At 40.7% G+C, this 15575-nt stretch overlaps 1 protein-coding gene across 2 annotated transcripts; it reads left to right on the forward strand.

Annotated features, from left to right (window-relative positions):
- The first annotated feature begins 1678 nt into the window (after positions 1-1678).
- PRSS35 (serine protease 35) lies at positions 1679-14849 on the forward strand. 2 transcript variants are annotated; one of them, NM_001170423.2, is made up of 3 exons: positions 1679-1839; positions 10680-10784; positions 12567-14849. In NM_001170423.2, the coding sequence occupies exon 3, from the start codon at positions 12587-12589 to the stop codon at positions 13826-13828; it is 1242 nt and encodes a 413-aa protein (NP_001163894.1). In that variant the 5' UTR covers positions 1679-1839; positions 10680-10784; positions 12567-12586; the 3' UTR covers positions 13829-14849. The 2 variants fall into 2 exon arrangements, with proteins under 2 accessions (NP_001163894.1, NP_699193.2); NM_153362.3 differs by lacking the exon at positions 10680-10784.
- Positions 14850-15575: the final 726 nt, after the last annotated feature.

Genomic DNA, 15575 nt, shown 5'->3' on the forward strand with positions numbered 1-15575 from the left:
TAGTGGAGAATGCTGAATAAAGTGAAGGAAGCAGACCTGGGTCCACAGTGAATCCTTCTGGATTTATACAGTGTTAGAATCCCAAAAATGTTTGAGAGCTGCAGGCCTTGGAACTCCTCCAGCTCAACCATCTCAATTTACAGATGAAAAAGCGGAGGCCCAGGGCACACAGCTATTTAGTGTCAGGCGGAATTCCCATTCTGAGTTCTGGACTTTCTCTGTGACTTCTCCACACTCCATCTGACTAGCAAACTTTTTAGTTCCACGTCTAATGCAGCAGCTACTATATGCCAGGCCCTGTGGTAGATGGTGGTGATTCAAAGATGCATATGACTATTATGATCTAATTGGTGACAGAGAGCTTCAGAACTAATTCTAACTGGTAAAAATTACCAATAGATTTTAATATATGGGTAAATGCTTATGTTAACAATGCTAAATGAGAAAACAGCAATGAAATTGTATATATAGTTGGCCCTTGGACACATATTTGAACTGCACAGGTCCACTTATACACAGATTTTTTTTTTCACCCAAAAGCGGATAGAAAACAGTATTTTCAGGCAGAAATGCTTAAACAGAGGGCAGACTTTTCCTATACGCGGGTTCCCCAGGGCCCACAGCTGGACTTGGACTTGAATATGGGATGATTTTAGTATGGGGGGGCGGAGGGGAAGAGGGCCTGGAACTAGTCCGTTGAGTATAACGAGGGACAATGCTAAGTATGTTATAATCTCATTAAAAGTACACAGAACTTGAGATACGCAATAACCTACTAACGAACCAAGTGTTACAAGACATGCTAAGACCTTGTGTTGTAAGTACTTGTGCACTTACTCGATCTCCCTGCTTTAGGGCCAGGACCGAGTTTTTTTGTTTTTGTTTTTGTTTTTGTTTATGTATTCTCTCGTTGTATCAGTTCATCTTGCCCCAGACCTGTCACCCACTAGAATTTGTTGTTAAACAAATGAAGCTTCCTTTCTCATGTGGCCCCCACCCCTCTCCTAAAGGAGAATAAAAGGTCGAGAGAACGGATGAGGTTAGAATGCTGGTGGGACTGAGATGGGAAAGGACCTTAAAGGTTACTCGCCCAAAGAGGAAAACCAGCCTTTTCCCTGCAGACGGAAACTGACGCGCTCCCCCTGGAGGCAGCGCAGGATGCTCCCGGGGGTCCAGGCGTCCCAGCCTGAGGTCCCCATCCTCGTGTGCAGCCTGGGCGCCTGGTACAAGTCGGGGTAACCCTGAGGCTTGTGCATCCAGAGAAGCTAGGTCCCCGGTGGAGACTAGCTTGGGATAAGGTTGGGGAGACGCCCTCCGTTCTTCTAGATGCCTGGGGTCTCAACAGCAAGCAGTGAGGAATGAGACTCTTAACTGAACAACTCCTGAGACTGTTAAAGGAGTGCATACTATTACAGGGACAGGCATCCCCTGTGAACCTACTCATGAATTTTTCCTAATGCTTAATTCAGCTTGGGGGCAGAAATGCTGGGGTGAGACACGGCCAGGTCCGCCCCGTTCCTCCAGGGAACTCCCCTCTCCGCCCTCCCTCTCCGTCTCCTCTTGCCCACCTCCTCCTCCTCCCCTCCCCCCACTCCATCCCACCGCGCCCGCCCCTCGTCATCGCCCCCTTTCCCCTCCCATCTCCCGGCCGTGGTGCGGCGCAGCTCTCTCCCCCTCCGCAGTCTCAGTGGCGAGCTCTGGGTGCTGTGGCCCGGCCTTGGCGGGGCGGCCTCCGGCTCAGGCTGGCTGAGAGGCTCCCAGCTGCAGCGTCCCCGCCCGCCTCCTCGGGAGCTCTGATCTCAGCTGACAGTGCCCTCGGGGACCAAACAAGCCTGGCAGGTAAAGATGAAGCTCCCCAAACCCAACAACCTTAGAACTTAGAAATTTCCCTGAGAAAGGCAGGACCTACCCGAGGAGAGCTTCTTTGAAGGACTTTGAAGAAAGGGATCAAACTTGACACTTTCTTTCAGTCCTCAAAGAAACTAACCACCCTTCCCATAGGCAATTCTGTGTGCCGGCCTCTGCACAGTTTAATATTAACGACAACAATGTTTGCATTGGAATATAAATGGAATTCTTTCTGCTTAAGCAGTACCAGAGGGGACCCTCTTTATTTTTATGATTGTTAACAGATGCCATTGAGAAAGGTATGAAACGCATTCCTGAAAAGTCTCTTTGGCGGGGTTACTATGAAAGCTAGCCTCTCCCCTCTACCCTTTTATCAACTTGGCTGCGGAGGTCAGCAAAAGGAGCATAGGAAAACGTTTAGAAAATGAGGCGGCGAAATGAAGTAGAAAAGCTTTTGACTTGCTTTGAAATACTCTAGCTGAAAAAAAAAAGTGTGTGGGGTGGTGATGGTGGATGAAACATTGGCAAAATATTGACAATAGTTGAAGCTGGTGATGTGCACATGGGGGTTGTACTTTTCTCTCAACTTAATACTTTTCTCTGTGCTTTTGTGTAGTCTTGAAATTTTCTATAATAAAAGGTTTTTTAAAAAGTTGTAGAAACACTCCCGCTTGATTGCTCTGACATTTTTACACTGTCCTTGATTTGAAAAGAAGCTGCTTGCTGTGTCTAGGGGGCTTTCACCCCTTATTAACCCTTCTGACTTCTGAAATTCATTCTTATTTTATCCGAAGTACATTTGTCTCCACAGAGGATTATAAAAGTCATATTTTGCTGGCTGGAGAATTATACTTAGAATCTGGTTTATAATTTAGAAGAGAGAATGTTAAAATCCCTGCCAAATAAGACATGTAGGCTTGAAGGTAGAGGCCAAGTATCATATGGAATTTTATTTTTATTAGGAAATATTAGAGGAGTTCCTTTAGTGAGGGAAGTGGTAGATGTGGATACTGTACCCCATTTTTCTTCCAGATAGCTGGGAAAACTGCATGCTTTTAAGAAGCTTTTTCACGTTTTAAAATGTGAGACTGTTTAGCATATACTTGGCATACAGTATGTGTTCATTAGATGTTAAAATAAGCAATTGCTAGTGTGAGTTAATTTTCTCCATTGGGTAAATGATTTTCCTCTGCCCAATGCTCAAATATCAAACAAGCATATTGCATTTTAACAGTAGGATCAGACTCAGAATTTGGGAGGATAGAGCTACTTTACCTTAGCACTGAGGTAACTTTGCAGATGAGAAATCTGAGATGGAGAGGTTAGGAAACAGTAAAGTTAAGTTAGTAGTATGCAAGCTATTATTTTATAACTAAAAAACGTTAAGCTTCGTATAGGTAAAACTGATGTGGGTTAGCTAAAAACATTGTGACCATAGATGCTTTAAAACCTGAAAAGTAGCATACCTATTTATAGATATTCTTTGCTCTCAAAGGCCAACTTGAAAAATACAGATAAGTCTAGAGCTATATGCTGTGCACTTCATAAGGCAGCATATGAAAGAGTCCTCTTGGGGTTCCTTTAATGTCATTCACCCAAAATTTGATTTATCCATAGGATTGCACAAATTGAGATGTACAGGTCATGGAAAAATAGCCCCCAAACAAAGGGAGGTTTTGTTTTTTATTGTGATGAGAAACAGAAGTTGTGGGTTACTGTAAAATAATCAACTGTGTAACTTTACCATCTTCCTTTCCCTCAAGTACTGCCAAACTTTTTAAGCAGACATTTTTTTGGTCTCCATTTATGAAACTAAACTTGAAAATAGTGCTATGGTATGATATTTTGAATAGAAATTGGCCCACTGTCAATGAACTTTCTTGCCATTTATTCTCAGCCTAGAATCAGTGGAGAGCTTATCCTTTAGTAATGGATTATAAAGTATTTGATAAACGTGAAATATTTGGCAGGTTCAAGATTTTCCTTAGCATTGAAATAAATTGTGGCACATTTGGGGGACTAGTTAACAGTGCTGTAGGTCATGCTGGAAGTGTGCTGGCACTACAACTGTTTTTGAAAAACTATCTGCCAGAAAATTGTCTGACTGTAGACAGCATTATCAGCCCTCAGTTCATCAGGATGGGCTCTGTGGCCTGTAGGTAGGTGGGTTTTCTAAATATAATAAATTTCATATGTCTCCCTATGTCACAGCCATTTAGTATATTATTAGCCAGTTAAAAGTTTTGCCCCTGCTGAATCTTACATGCTTTTAAAATAAAATCTATTTCACAGCTGAGTAAGTGTAAACATTTTAAATACCTGCGTTAGATTTGCCATCACCAGGCTAATTTTGCCATCTAGTGGTAGCAACATGGATAACAGGCAAGTTCTTCCCTGGATGACTAGGAATTGAACCTTCCTGAGAAGCATTGATGAGTAAATTACTTGTGTTTTCTCATTTGTGGTTTACTCTAGAACTTTAAAGCTGGAAGAAATCTTAGAAATGTTCTAGTCCAACTCAACAGTTAAGGACTATCAGAGAGATTCTTTAAAATAAAGGCTTCGAAATGCATGGCGGAGTTAGCAGGTGGTATGCATTTGTTGAATAGACAAATTTATCTATCCTGTTCTAATTCTTGTTTTTCCTCTAGCAATATTGCATCCTACCACTATGAAGTTTTATCGTGATCTTCTGTTTTTAGTTTTAAAATTGCATTTCTGTATATTATTTCTTAAAATAACACATTTTCATTTATATTTTAAGTCCCAGAAGGAAACATTCTTTTCTACTGTTTTTGTTTGTTTGCTTTGAGACAGGGTTGCCCTGTCTCATTCTAGTTGTCCAGGCTGGAGTGTAGTGACACAATCACAGCTCACTGCAGCGTCCACCTCCCAGCTTAGGTGATCCTCCCAACTCAGCCCAGAGTAGCTGGGACCACAGGCATGCGCCACCACACTTGTAGAGACAGGGTCTCCCTATGTTGCCCAGGCTACTCTCAAACTCCTGGACTCAAGTGATCCTCCCATCCCAGCCTCCCAAAGTGCTAGGATTACAGGTGTGAGGCACCGCGCCCGGCCCTTTTCTACTTTTTAATCACTCCCTACTACTACTACTTCTCTTTTCTTTTTTTTGACGGAGTCTCGCTCTGTTGCCCAGGCTGGAGTGCAATGGCGTGATCTCACCTCACTGCAACCTCTGCCTCCCGGTTCAGGGGATTCTCCTGCCTCAGCCTCCCCAGTAGCTGGGATTACAGGTACACAACAGCATGCCTGGCTAATTTTTGTATTTTTAGCAGAGACGGGGTTTCACCACGTTGGCCAGGCTGGTCTGGAACTCCTCACCTCAAGTGATCCGCCCACCTAGGCCTCCCAAACTGCTGGGATTACAGGTGTGAGCCACAGCCTCCGCCACTCCCTACTACTACTTTCTTTCTAAACAGTCAGGCAGACTGTTGTAAAAACTCGATTCTCACCTTTGTAAGTGTAGCAGTTTCCTACTGCTGCTGTAACAAATTACCGAAAACTCAGTGGTTTAAAACAACACAAATTTATTATCTTATGCATCTGGAGATCAGAAATCTAAAGTTTTGGCTGGGCACGGTGGCTCACGCCTGTAATCCCAGCACTTTGGGAGGCCGAGATGGGCGGATCACGAGGTCAGGAGATCGAGACCATCCTGGCCAACACGGTGACACCCCATCTCTACTAAAAATACAAAAAAAATTAGCCGGGCATGGTGGCGGGCGCCTGTAGTCCCAGCTACTGGGGAGGCTGAGGCTGAAGAATGGCGTGAACCTGGGAGGCGGAGCTTGCAGTGAGCCGAGATCACGCCATTGCACTCTAGCCTGGGCGACTGAGAGAGACTGCGTCTCAAAAAAAAAAAAAAAAAAAAGAAATCTGAAGTTGTATTGTGATCTTCTGTTTTTAGTTTTAAATTATATTTCTTCATATTTTTCTTAAAACAACACATTTTCATTTATGTTCCTCCTTCTGGAAGTTCTAGGAAATAATTTTCCTTACCTTTTTCAGCATCTAGAGGCCACTCATATTCCTCAGCTCATGATCCTGCATTGCTCTGGCCTCCGCTTACATCTATCAGCTCTTCCCACTCTTAACCCGTCTGCCTCCTTCTTATATGAGCCCCTATGATTGCATTGGACCCACCTGGATAACCCAGAATAACCACTTCACCTTAAAATCCTTAATGTAATCGTATTTGTAAAGTCTCTTTTCTTGTGTGTGGGAAATATTCACAGGTCCTGGGGATGAGGATATTTGGCATACCACAATGAGGCAGTTAGAGATGTATGAAATACCTTGTAAATATCTACCTGAGTGTTGGCTCCCCCTGTTTGATATGAAAAACATTGGCTTTAATCTTTGTGGAGTGCTTACTGTGCTCTGGGCATTGTGCTTATCATATTAGTTTCTCACAAAAATATTCTCAAATATTATCTCTATCTAATAAATGTGGGAAATAATGTCTAGAGAGATTAGGTAACCTTCACAAGATCACAGTGTAACAAGTGGCAAGTGTACTTAAGGTTGATTTGGCTTCAAAGCCCACTGCCCCCATAATCATTGAAACACCCTAGTTCTTACTCCCCTTTTTTATTACGTTACAGACACTGTTATTTTCTCATACACTCTCTAAATTAAATGTTACCTCCATGTAGTGCTGCTGTCAGGGAGCGCCTCAGTGGATCAGGAATTAGTTTTCATAAGATACCCCCTCTCCTCAGCATCTGTTCCCCCAAATAAAACTGACTATGAAAGTTTTTACAATTGTCATCCAAAACATCACCGCTTTCTTTAGTGCTTGCTTTATTCCTGTTTATGTCACTTGTAATTCTCCCCCTCTCCTGCTGTGGCCTTTTGCCTAAGCCATTTCTCTCTGCAGTTATTCAGAATCATCTGGCCAGGCCCCAGTGTCTCCCTGTTGTGTGTCAATCCTGAGTAGGTGGAGGATGAAAGTAGAGGAGGAAATGAGGGCATGTCTTCACATTTAGGTATGCATGTAAACAGAGCCAGTGGTGTTAGGAAGCACAGGTGGTTGGGATTGCAGATGGCTAAATAGAGGACAGCCAAGTTTTAAAAGGTGGTCATGCAATCATTGGTGTGTACTAACATACACACTAAAGTAGAGGGTGGTGTTGGCCCTATGGGGTCATTGATATGACTGAGTAATTCCTGACCCACAGCAGCCTCCCAGGAACTGTTTGATGGATCAATGCAAAGTTGTGTCCCATGGCAACATGCTATGTACATAAATATGGACAAGTACCTCACTAGACATTACAAGGAACCAGGTGAAAAGAAAGGCATAAGTAATTGTGAATCTGTCACCTAGTGAGGGAAAGCAATTCAATGCAGGTCCTTCAATGGTAAGTCAGCATCTTTGCTTTCTCATAGACAGGAAAAATAATTGATTTGAAATATTAATATAGTGGGCAGCCATCTAATCTTTCATTAGTTTGTCTGCTCTATCTAAGCTAGACTATAAACTTCTAGGGTAAAAAACAAAACACAAAAGAGAAACTGAGCCTTAAGGTATAATGTCATTTCATCATAGGATTCTATATACTCTAGATAGACTCACTCAAAAAGTTGTTTTTTTTTCATTGTAGATCACTCCCTTAGAGTAATTATGTTGACATAGACTCTGTTTCTTTTTAGGCTGAGGGTCTGATGCAGTTCCAAAATTCCCAGTGTAGATCCAGGCTATAAATAAGACACAGAAAATGCAATTTAAGTGTTTTGTGGCTGCATAGTGTTTAATCACACTTAAGTTTAATAGCAATGAGAAAAATATATTACAGAGCCATGGATATTCATAGAAATGAGTAATTAGGAAAGCATTCATTTGGGAAGTCTCTAAAGTGAAGCTGTCCTTGAACGAAAAACAAAACAAAGAAAAAGCGAATTTTAGAGTGAGTTGGAAACTATCTTGAAATAAAAATATTTGACTGTAAAACTGACTTTTTAGAAAACTACAAGATCTCTAATTTTGGCTTATATAACAACCTGTTTTGAAGTGATACAAATTCACCAATTAAGGTAGGATAATAATTATAAAATAACATGTGTTAACTACTTACTATCCTCTGGGCTCAGTAGTAATTCTTTGCGTGTATCATCTCATTTAATCTCCATAACAATGTTATGAAGTCGAAATTACTATAATATTATCCCCACTTTGCAGATGAGGAAAGTGAAACTTGGAGAGTTAATGAACTGCCCACATGCACATGCCTCATAAGTGGTGAAAAGGGAATTGAACCCAAGCCTTCCCACTCCTTGGTCTGCACTCATAACCACTATGCTGGTACAGATACACAAATATTCTCAACGCTGTCAGCAATCACATTTCTAAGAAACTATAAACAAATAACAAAAGGGTAATAGTAAGTGATCTCGTAGTCAAGTGTGGTCACTTCTATTAATAGATTGGGTACAAATGTGTAATTACATCTCTTCCATCAGTAAGAGTTCATCTACATACACAGATATTCTTACTTCTTCCTTAATTCCCTTCTACTCAATCTGTCTTCAGGATCCAGCCCATAATCAGCTGTGTGTATGCTGACTCACAGTGGTGGGCAGCAATCACTGCAACTTTGCTTTCATTAACCAAAATTGGAATTTGAAGCCCCAAATGCAAGCCATCTGGAAATGGACAGTGAAGGTCACAGTTATATTGGAAGACAGGAAAAATGAGGGGGATGGGGAAGCCAAGGGATGTTAGACTTTCAAAATATTATAGCTGCCCCTTCAACTGGGACTGTGTCTTTTTAGATCAATGAGTTAGTCCTTTTTGGATAATGGGCATATGTAGATGTCTCCACTGAACAAACTGTGGATTGCTCTATCAGTAAGAGCTATCATTTATGCCACATTGACATTTTACCACAAGACAAACTTAGATTTTCCAAAAGAAAGTGTCTTTAAACATTTGCCCAATTTTAAATTACAGGCCAAATTAGGCTAACTAAATCCATGTCCTCTTATTACTGTGATTCTGAGGTCATATTACAAAGCTCTGCCCTTCCCATACCCAAGGGTAGACGTGGGCATGGTTTTTATTCCTGTGGTACACTGCACAGAGCTCCCTCAAAGGGCACCAGGCAGGGCTGGTGAACCAATGCCATTGAATGATCTGTAGTATGAGATATTGGAGGCATTACATATAAACCTTATGAACTTCACTTTTGCCATTGAATGATCTGTAGTATGAGATATTGGAGGCATTACATATAAACCTTATGAATTTCACTTTTTTGAGACATATGATGCACATAGGATCACTATGTGATCCTAGTTCACACCACTGCACTCCAGCTTGGTGACAGAGCCAGACTGACTCTCAAAAAATAATTAAAAATAAAAATAAAAGTTAGTTATGTTTGTTTTTTATTAATTGGCTGAGTTATTTGATATTGTCAGTTGCTAACATAGTAAAAGCATAAAGTCAGAATAAATTAATTTTGTACACAGAGATGAAGCAGATGTCATTTAAAACCCGGGTAAGCCATCATCCTTGGAAAGACCACCTTCTGGGGTATGGCTCATGTTGCTACACCAGAGCCTTGGCTACTGTAGTGGTTCTTAACCTTTATTGAGTGTCAAAGTCATCTGGAGGGCCGGTTAAACCTAGCTGGGAGTCACTCTCCACCACCCTTTCAGGAGAGTTTCTAACAGTAGGTCTGGGGCAGGCCCTGAGAATTAGCATTTTTAACAAGTTTCCAGGTAATGCTGAAGTTACTAGTGTAGGGACTGTCCTTTGAGAACCCCTGGTCTGGTGTTTCCTTTTGGCGAGCAACCAAGATATGGGCTCTCAACCACCGTTCGTAACTGCTGTGAGAATGTGAACGTGAACACAGAGAAGGAAAACCATGCCTATATCATTGGTATTGTCATTTGATAAGTCAAATCATTGCTTTGTACCAAGCCAGGTTTCAAATAGCATTGAAAATTTCCAAAGTATTGTCCAAGGCCTTTGACTAGAACAATAGCTTTATAAACCAGTGTCATCTACATAGCCAGAAATAAAATTATACTTAAATACAATTCAACTCTGATGAGGCTTTCTTAAAAGTCTGGCTACAGAATTATGGCACAGGATAAACGTAACTGGGGAAAAAATATCACAGTAACACTATTTAGACATCCTTTATTTTGCCCAGGAATGCCTTTCACAAGTGTATTGCTCCTCAGATCATTAGTACCAAGCATTAAGATATACCAAATGAGATACTTTGTGTCTCTTGACGTGGATATTTGGCTGACTTTCAAGCTTTGATGTAATCATATATTAAGTACACAGTGGACAGCTGTTGTCATAAAGAGCTAAATGAAAAAGCAATTAAGAAAAAAGTTTCCCACACCAAAACAACTCCCTTGATTGAAATTTTGCTGAGAATCAAGTAGATTTAAAAATATACATAATGATATATATCATTTTTATCTATTTTGGTTTGTTGATAAGCTAAGTAGCAGCAAATAACTCTTTGATTTTCACTTTTTTTTTCAGCCAAGGACATAAATTTTCATCCTGGGAACTACAATTTCAAGCGCTCAGTAGAGTTACTGAGTTGTGAGCCTTTTTCATTCTAATTAAATAAACTTGATGAAATACTATTGAGAAAAATTGCATAGAAGACAAAATAAAATACTAAGTGGCTCTACTCTACAAAATCCTTGATGATATAATTACTGTTTTGCAGCGGTGACTATTAGAAAATATTGTGACGTAAATGCAGATTTCCTCCCCTCCCCTCCCCTCCCTTCTCCTTCCCTTCCCTCACCTCCCCCCCTCCTCTCCTCTTCGACAGGGTCTCACTTTGTTGCCCAGGCTGGAGTTCAGTGCCATGATCATGGTTTACTGCAGCCTTGACCTCCTGGGTTCAAGCGATCCTGCTGAGTAGCTGGGACTACAGGTGTGTGCCACCATGCCTGACTAATTTTTTAAAAGTTTTTTTTGTAGAGATGAGGTCTCAGTATGTTGCCCAATCTGGTCTTGAATTCCTGTATTCAAGCAATCCTCCGATCTTAGCCTCCCAAAGTGCTGGGATTACAGGTGTGAGCTACCACACCCGGCCTGCTTAATATTTCCAAATGTATAATGGTTCAAATTAATTATGTTATGTTTTCATTAATATATCACATTTAAACAATAAATAGGTTAATGTAGCATACATTTTTCATCAAAAGAATGTTTTAGTTTGTTAATAAAATTATTGTATTTGTATATGGCAACATAAATTCTGTTGTATCAAGGGATACCGATATTGAACTTTGCATCAGGGTTGACTTTTCCCTTTTGTGCCAGTGCACACATCCTGTGGGTGTACCCTGTGGTACAATGGCTGTGGGCCATTGCTAATGTGCTTTCTTTTCCATGCAAAAAAGAAATAAATAAAATAAAGCTTATCAGAAAGCATTGAGGATGAATGTATTGTAGGGATAAGCGAATGCTGCATTGCCTCTGCTTTATACAAAGTACAAATCATTTGCTTAAGTCTTGATATTTTAACTATTAGTTAAAAATGACTTGGAGCATAGTTGGCAAATACTAGCGACACAGAGGTTCAAAATTGCTGCTCCAGCATGCTCCTACTATACCCACCTCCAAGCAAAGATGGCTGATACATATCAGTTCCACTAAATAGATACATGTACATGCCAGTGAGCCTCAAGAAAAGAAAAAGAGGGCAAGAAGATGTGAATAGTAGGAGAGGTATTATATAATTTATTATGTACTGGCACCTTTAACAATATTTAAATAACACAAGAACACTGGTCTTAGATGGTGAGACCTACGGTGAAAAGGGACTATATCTAACCATTCTCATGTCCCCCCCAAACAGCCTGTACTTCATAAATTCTTACAAATAATTTTAATATGCAGTAAAGTCCCACCATAAGGCATTTTGTATGGAGCTTTGCTTAGAGGGTGGTTTCAAGCACAACTTTGTTTTTTAAAAATACATGGTACATTTTTCTTACTTTAGCATAAAATGGCCTGTGCTATATATTTTCTTTTTATGACCAGGCATTCTATACAAATCAAAACAGATCAATAGAAGATTAATTAGCAATTTATTTATTGCTAATACTCTTACTGCTTTAAAACATTATCCAAGAATTTGCATTGCACCTTCACATCAGTTTGGGCTGCGAATCCTGGTTCATGGACATTCACTGTATCCAATGAGCAGTTTTTTGAGCTCTGTGCTAGGCAGTTACAGTCTAGAGATGGAGAAGTTATGATCCCTATTTTTAAGTAGCTAAGTGTGGGAAAAGACTGCAGCACATTTGCTTTTATCTTTATTTCTAAATCATCTGGATAAAAAGTTGTAGGATATCTAAGGAGGAGAGTGTGGCTTAGCCGACAGAGGATTCCAACCTACTACCGTATTCTACTCTCTCAGGCACGAGGCTATTAGGGGAGATAGAGGTGGAGATGACAGGTTGGGGTGGGAGCGAGGTGGATTAGGGCTGGTGGAGGGAAGTTTGGGTGGAAAACAACTTACTGATTTTGGAAGTCTGTGTGAGCCCACTTACCAGTGTTTATCTAATCTCAATAAAATCTAGGTAAGGTGAAAATAAGGACACCTCTTTGTGGTGAAGGTACATTTAGGATCCAAGGGCTGAATGAAATGGATAAGTAAGATTTAAAAAGGAAACATTATAAACCTCTCTCTTTTTCTATTTTTAAGGACAAAATTAGAAGATCAAAATGGAAAATATGCTGCTTTGGTTGATATTTTTCACCCCTGGGTGGACCCTCATTGATGGATCTGAAATGGAATGGGATTTTATGTGGCACTTGAGAAAGGTACCCCGGATTGTCAGTGAAAGGACTTTCCATCTCACCAGCCCCGCATTTGAGGCAGATGCTAAGATGATGGTAAATACAGTGTGTGGCATCGAATGCCAGAAAGAACTCCCAACTCCCAGCCTTTCTGAATTGGAGGATTATCTTTCCTATGAGACTGTCTTTGAGAATGGCACCCGAACCTTAACCAGGGTGAAAGTTCAAGATTTGGTTCTTGAGCCGACTCAAAATATCACCACAAAGGGAGTATCTGTTAGGAGAAAGAGACAGGTGTATGGCACCGACAGCAGGTTCAGCATCTTGGACAAAAGGTTCTTAACCAATTTCCCTTTCAGCACAGCTGTGAAGCTTTCCACGGGCTGTAGTGGCATTCTCATTTCCCCTCAGCATGTTCTAACTGCTGCCCACTGTGTTCATGATGGAAAGGACTATGTCAAAGGGAGTAAAAAGCTAAGGGTAGGGTTGTTGAAGATGAGGAATAAAAGTGGAGGCAAGAAACGTCGAGGTTCTAAGAGGAGCAGGAGAGAAGCTAGTGGTGGTGACCAAAGAGAGGGTACCAGAGAGCATCTGCGGGAGAGAGCGAAGGGTGGGAGAAGAAGAAAAAAATCTGGCCGGGGTCAGAGGATTGCCGAAGGGAGGCCTTCCTTTCAGTGGACCCGGGTCAAGAATACCCACATTCCGAAGGGCTGGGCACGAGGAGGCATGGGGGACGCTACCTTGGACTATGACTATGCTCTTCTGGAGCTGAAGCGTGCTCACAAAAAGAAATACATGGAACTTGGAATCAGCCCAACGATCAAGAAAATGCCTGGTGGAATGATCCACTTCTCAGGATTTGATAACGATAGGGCTGATCAGTTGGTCTATCGGTTTTGCAGTGTGTCCGACGAATCCAATGATCTCCTTTACCAATACTGCGATGCTGAGTCGGGCTCCACCGGTTCGGGGGTCTATCTGCGTCTGAAAGATCCAGACAAAAAGAATTGGAAGCGCAAAATCATTGCGGTCTACTCAGGGCACCAGTGGGTGGATGTCCACGGGGTTCAGAAGGACTACAACGTTGCTGTTCGCATCACTCCCCTAAAATACGCCCAGATTTGCCTCTGGATTCACGGGAACGATGCCAATTGTGCTTACGGCTAACAGAGACCTGAAACAGGGCGGTGTATCATCTAAATCACAGAGAAAACCAGCTCTGCTTACCGTAGTGAGATCACTTCATAGGTTATGCCTGGACTTGAACTCTGTCAATAGCATTTCAACATTTTTCAAAATCAGGAGATTTTCGTCCATTTAAAAAATGTATAGGTGCAGATATTGAAACTAGGTGGGCACTTCAATGCCAAGTATATACTCTTCTTTACATGGTGATGAGTTTCATTTGTAGAAAAATTTTGTTGCCTTCTTAAAAATTAGACACACTTTAAACCTTCAAACAGGTATTATAAATAACATGTGACTCCTTAATGGACTTATTCTCAGGGTCCTACTCTAAGAAGAATCTAATAGGATGCTGGTTGTGTATTAAATGTGAAATTGCATAGATAAAGGTAGATGGTAAAGCAATTAGTATCAGAATAGAGACAGAAAGTTACAACACAGTTTGTACTACTCTGAGATGGATCCATTCAGCTCATGCCCTCAATGTTTATATTGTGTTATCTGTTGGGTCTGGGACATTTAGTTTAGTTTTTTTGAAGAATTACAAATCAGAAGAAAAAGCAAGCATTATAAACAAAACTAATAACTGTTTTACTGCTTTAAGAAATAACAATTACAATGTGTATTATTTAAAAATGGGAGAAATAGTTTGTTCTATGAAATAAACCTAGTTTAGAAATAGGGAAGCTGAGACATTTTAAGATCTCAAGTTTTTATTTAACTAATACTCAAAATATGGACTTTTCATGTATGCATAGGGAAGACACTTCACAAATTATGAATGATCATGTGTTGAAAGCCACATTATTTTATGCTATACATTCTATGTATGAGGTGCTACATTTTTAGGACAAAGAATTCTGTAATCTTTTTCAAGAAAGAGTCTTTTTCTCCTTGACAAAATCCAGCTTTTGTATGAGGACTATAGGGTGAATTCTCTGATTAGTAATTTTAGATATGTCCTTTCCTAAAAATGAATAAAATTTATGAATATGACTTAAAAGAAGGGTCTGGTTATTTTCCTTAGGAACCAAGGCTGCAACACTCATTCTGGCCATCATGTAGTGTAAGCAGAGTCCAGTGACTGCCCTGGGGCAAAACACAGAGTAGGCACTCAATGTGTATTTATTGAATAAATAACTACTTGCTAAAAGGCTGTAAAAAGAGAATAGTTCAGGGCATTATGTTTAAAGAATTTTAGTGATCTATAATCAAGTACACTGTAAAATTCAGCAATTGCAGGCCTTATTTCTGGTTTGGTCTGTTCTTTCTGGTAGTTTCTAAGGCCATATTCTCTTCTCTCTTGACACACTTAAGTCATTGATTCTGCCAGGGTTCAAATTTATCTTATTATTTTTTAATAATGGGGAGTTATACTGTGGACTAGTATGCCAAGAAGTAATTGATTAGATTATGATAAATGATTTTGTGAATGGTGTTGAAAACAGCAGAAATTCAGTACAAGTGCAGACTTTTTTTTTTTTTTTTTTTTGAGATGTCTGGCTCTCTCACCCAGGGTGGAGTGCAGTGGCGTGATCTCAGCTCACTGAAATCTCTGTCTCCTGGGTTCAAGCAATTCTCCTGTCTCAGCCTCCAGAGAAGCTGGGACTACAGGTACGTGCCACCACGCCTGGCTAATTTTTGTATTTTTAGTAGAAACGGGGTTTCACCATATTGGTCAGGCTGGTCTCGAACTCCTGACCTCGTTTGATCCACCTGCCTCGGCCTC

Source organism: Homo sapiens, chromosome 6 (assembly GCF_000001405.40).
Source record: "Homo sapiens chromosome 6, GRCh38.p14 Primary Assembly".
Lineage (NCBI taxonomy): Eukaryota > Metazoa > Chordata > Mammalia > Primates > Hominidae > Homo > Homo sapiens.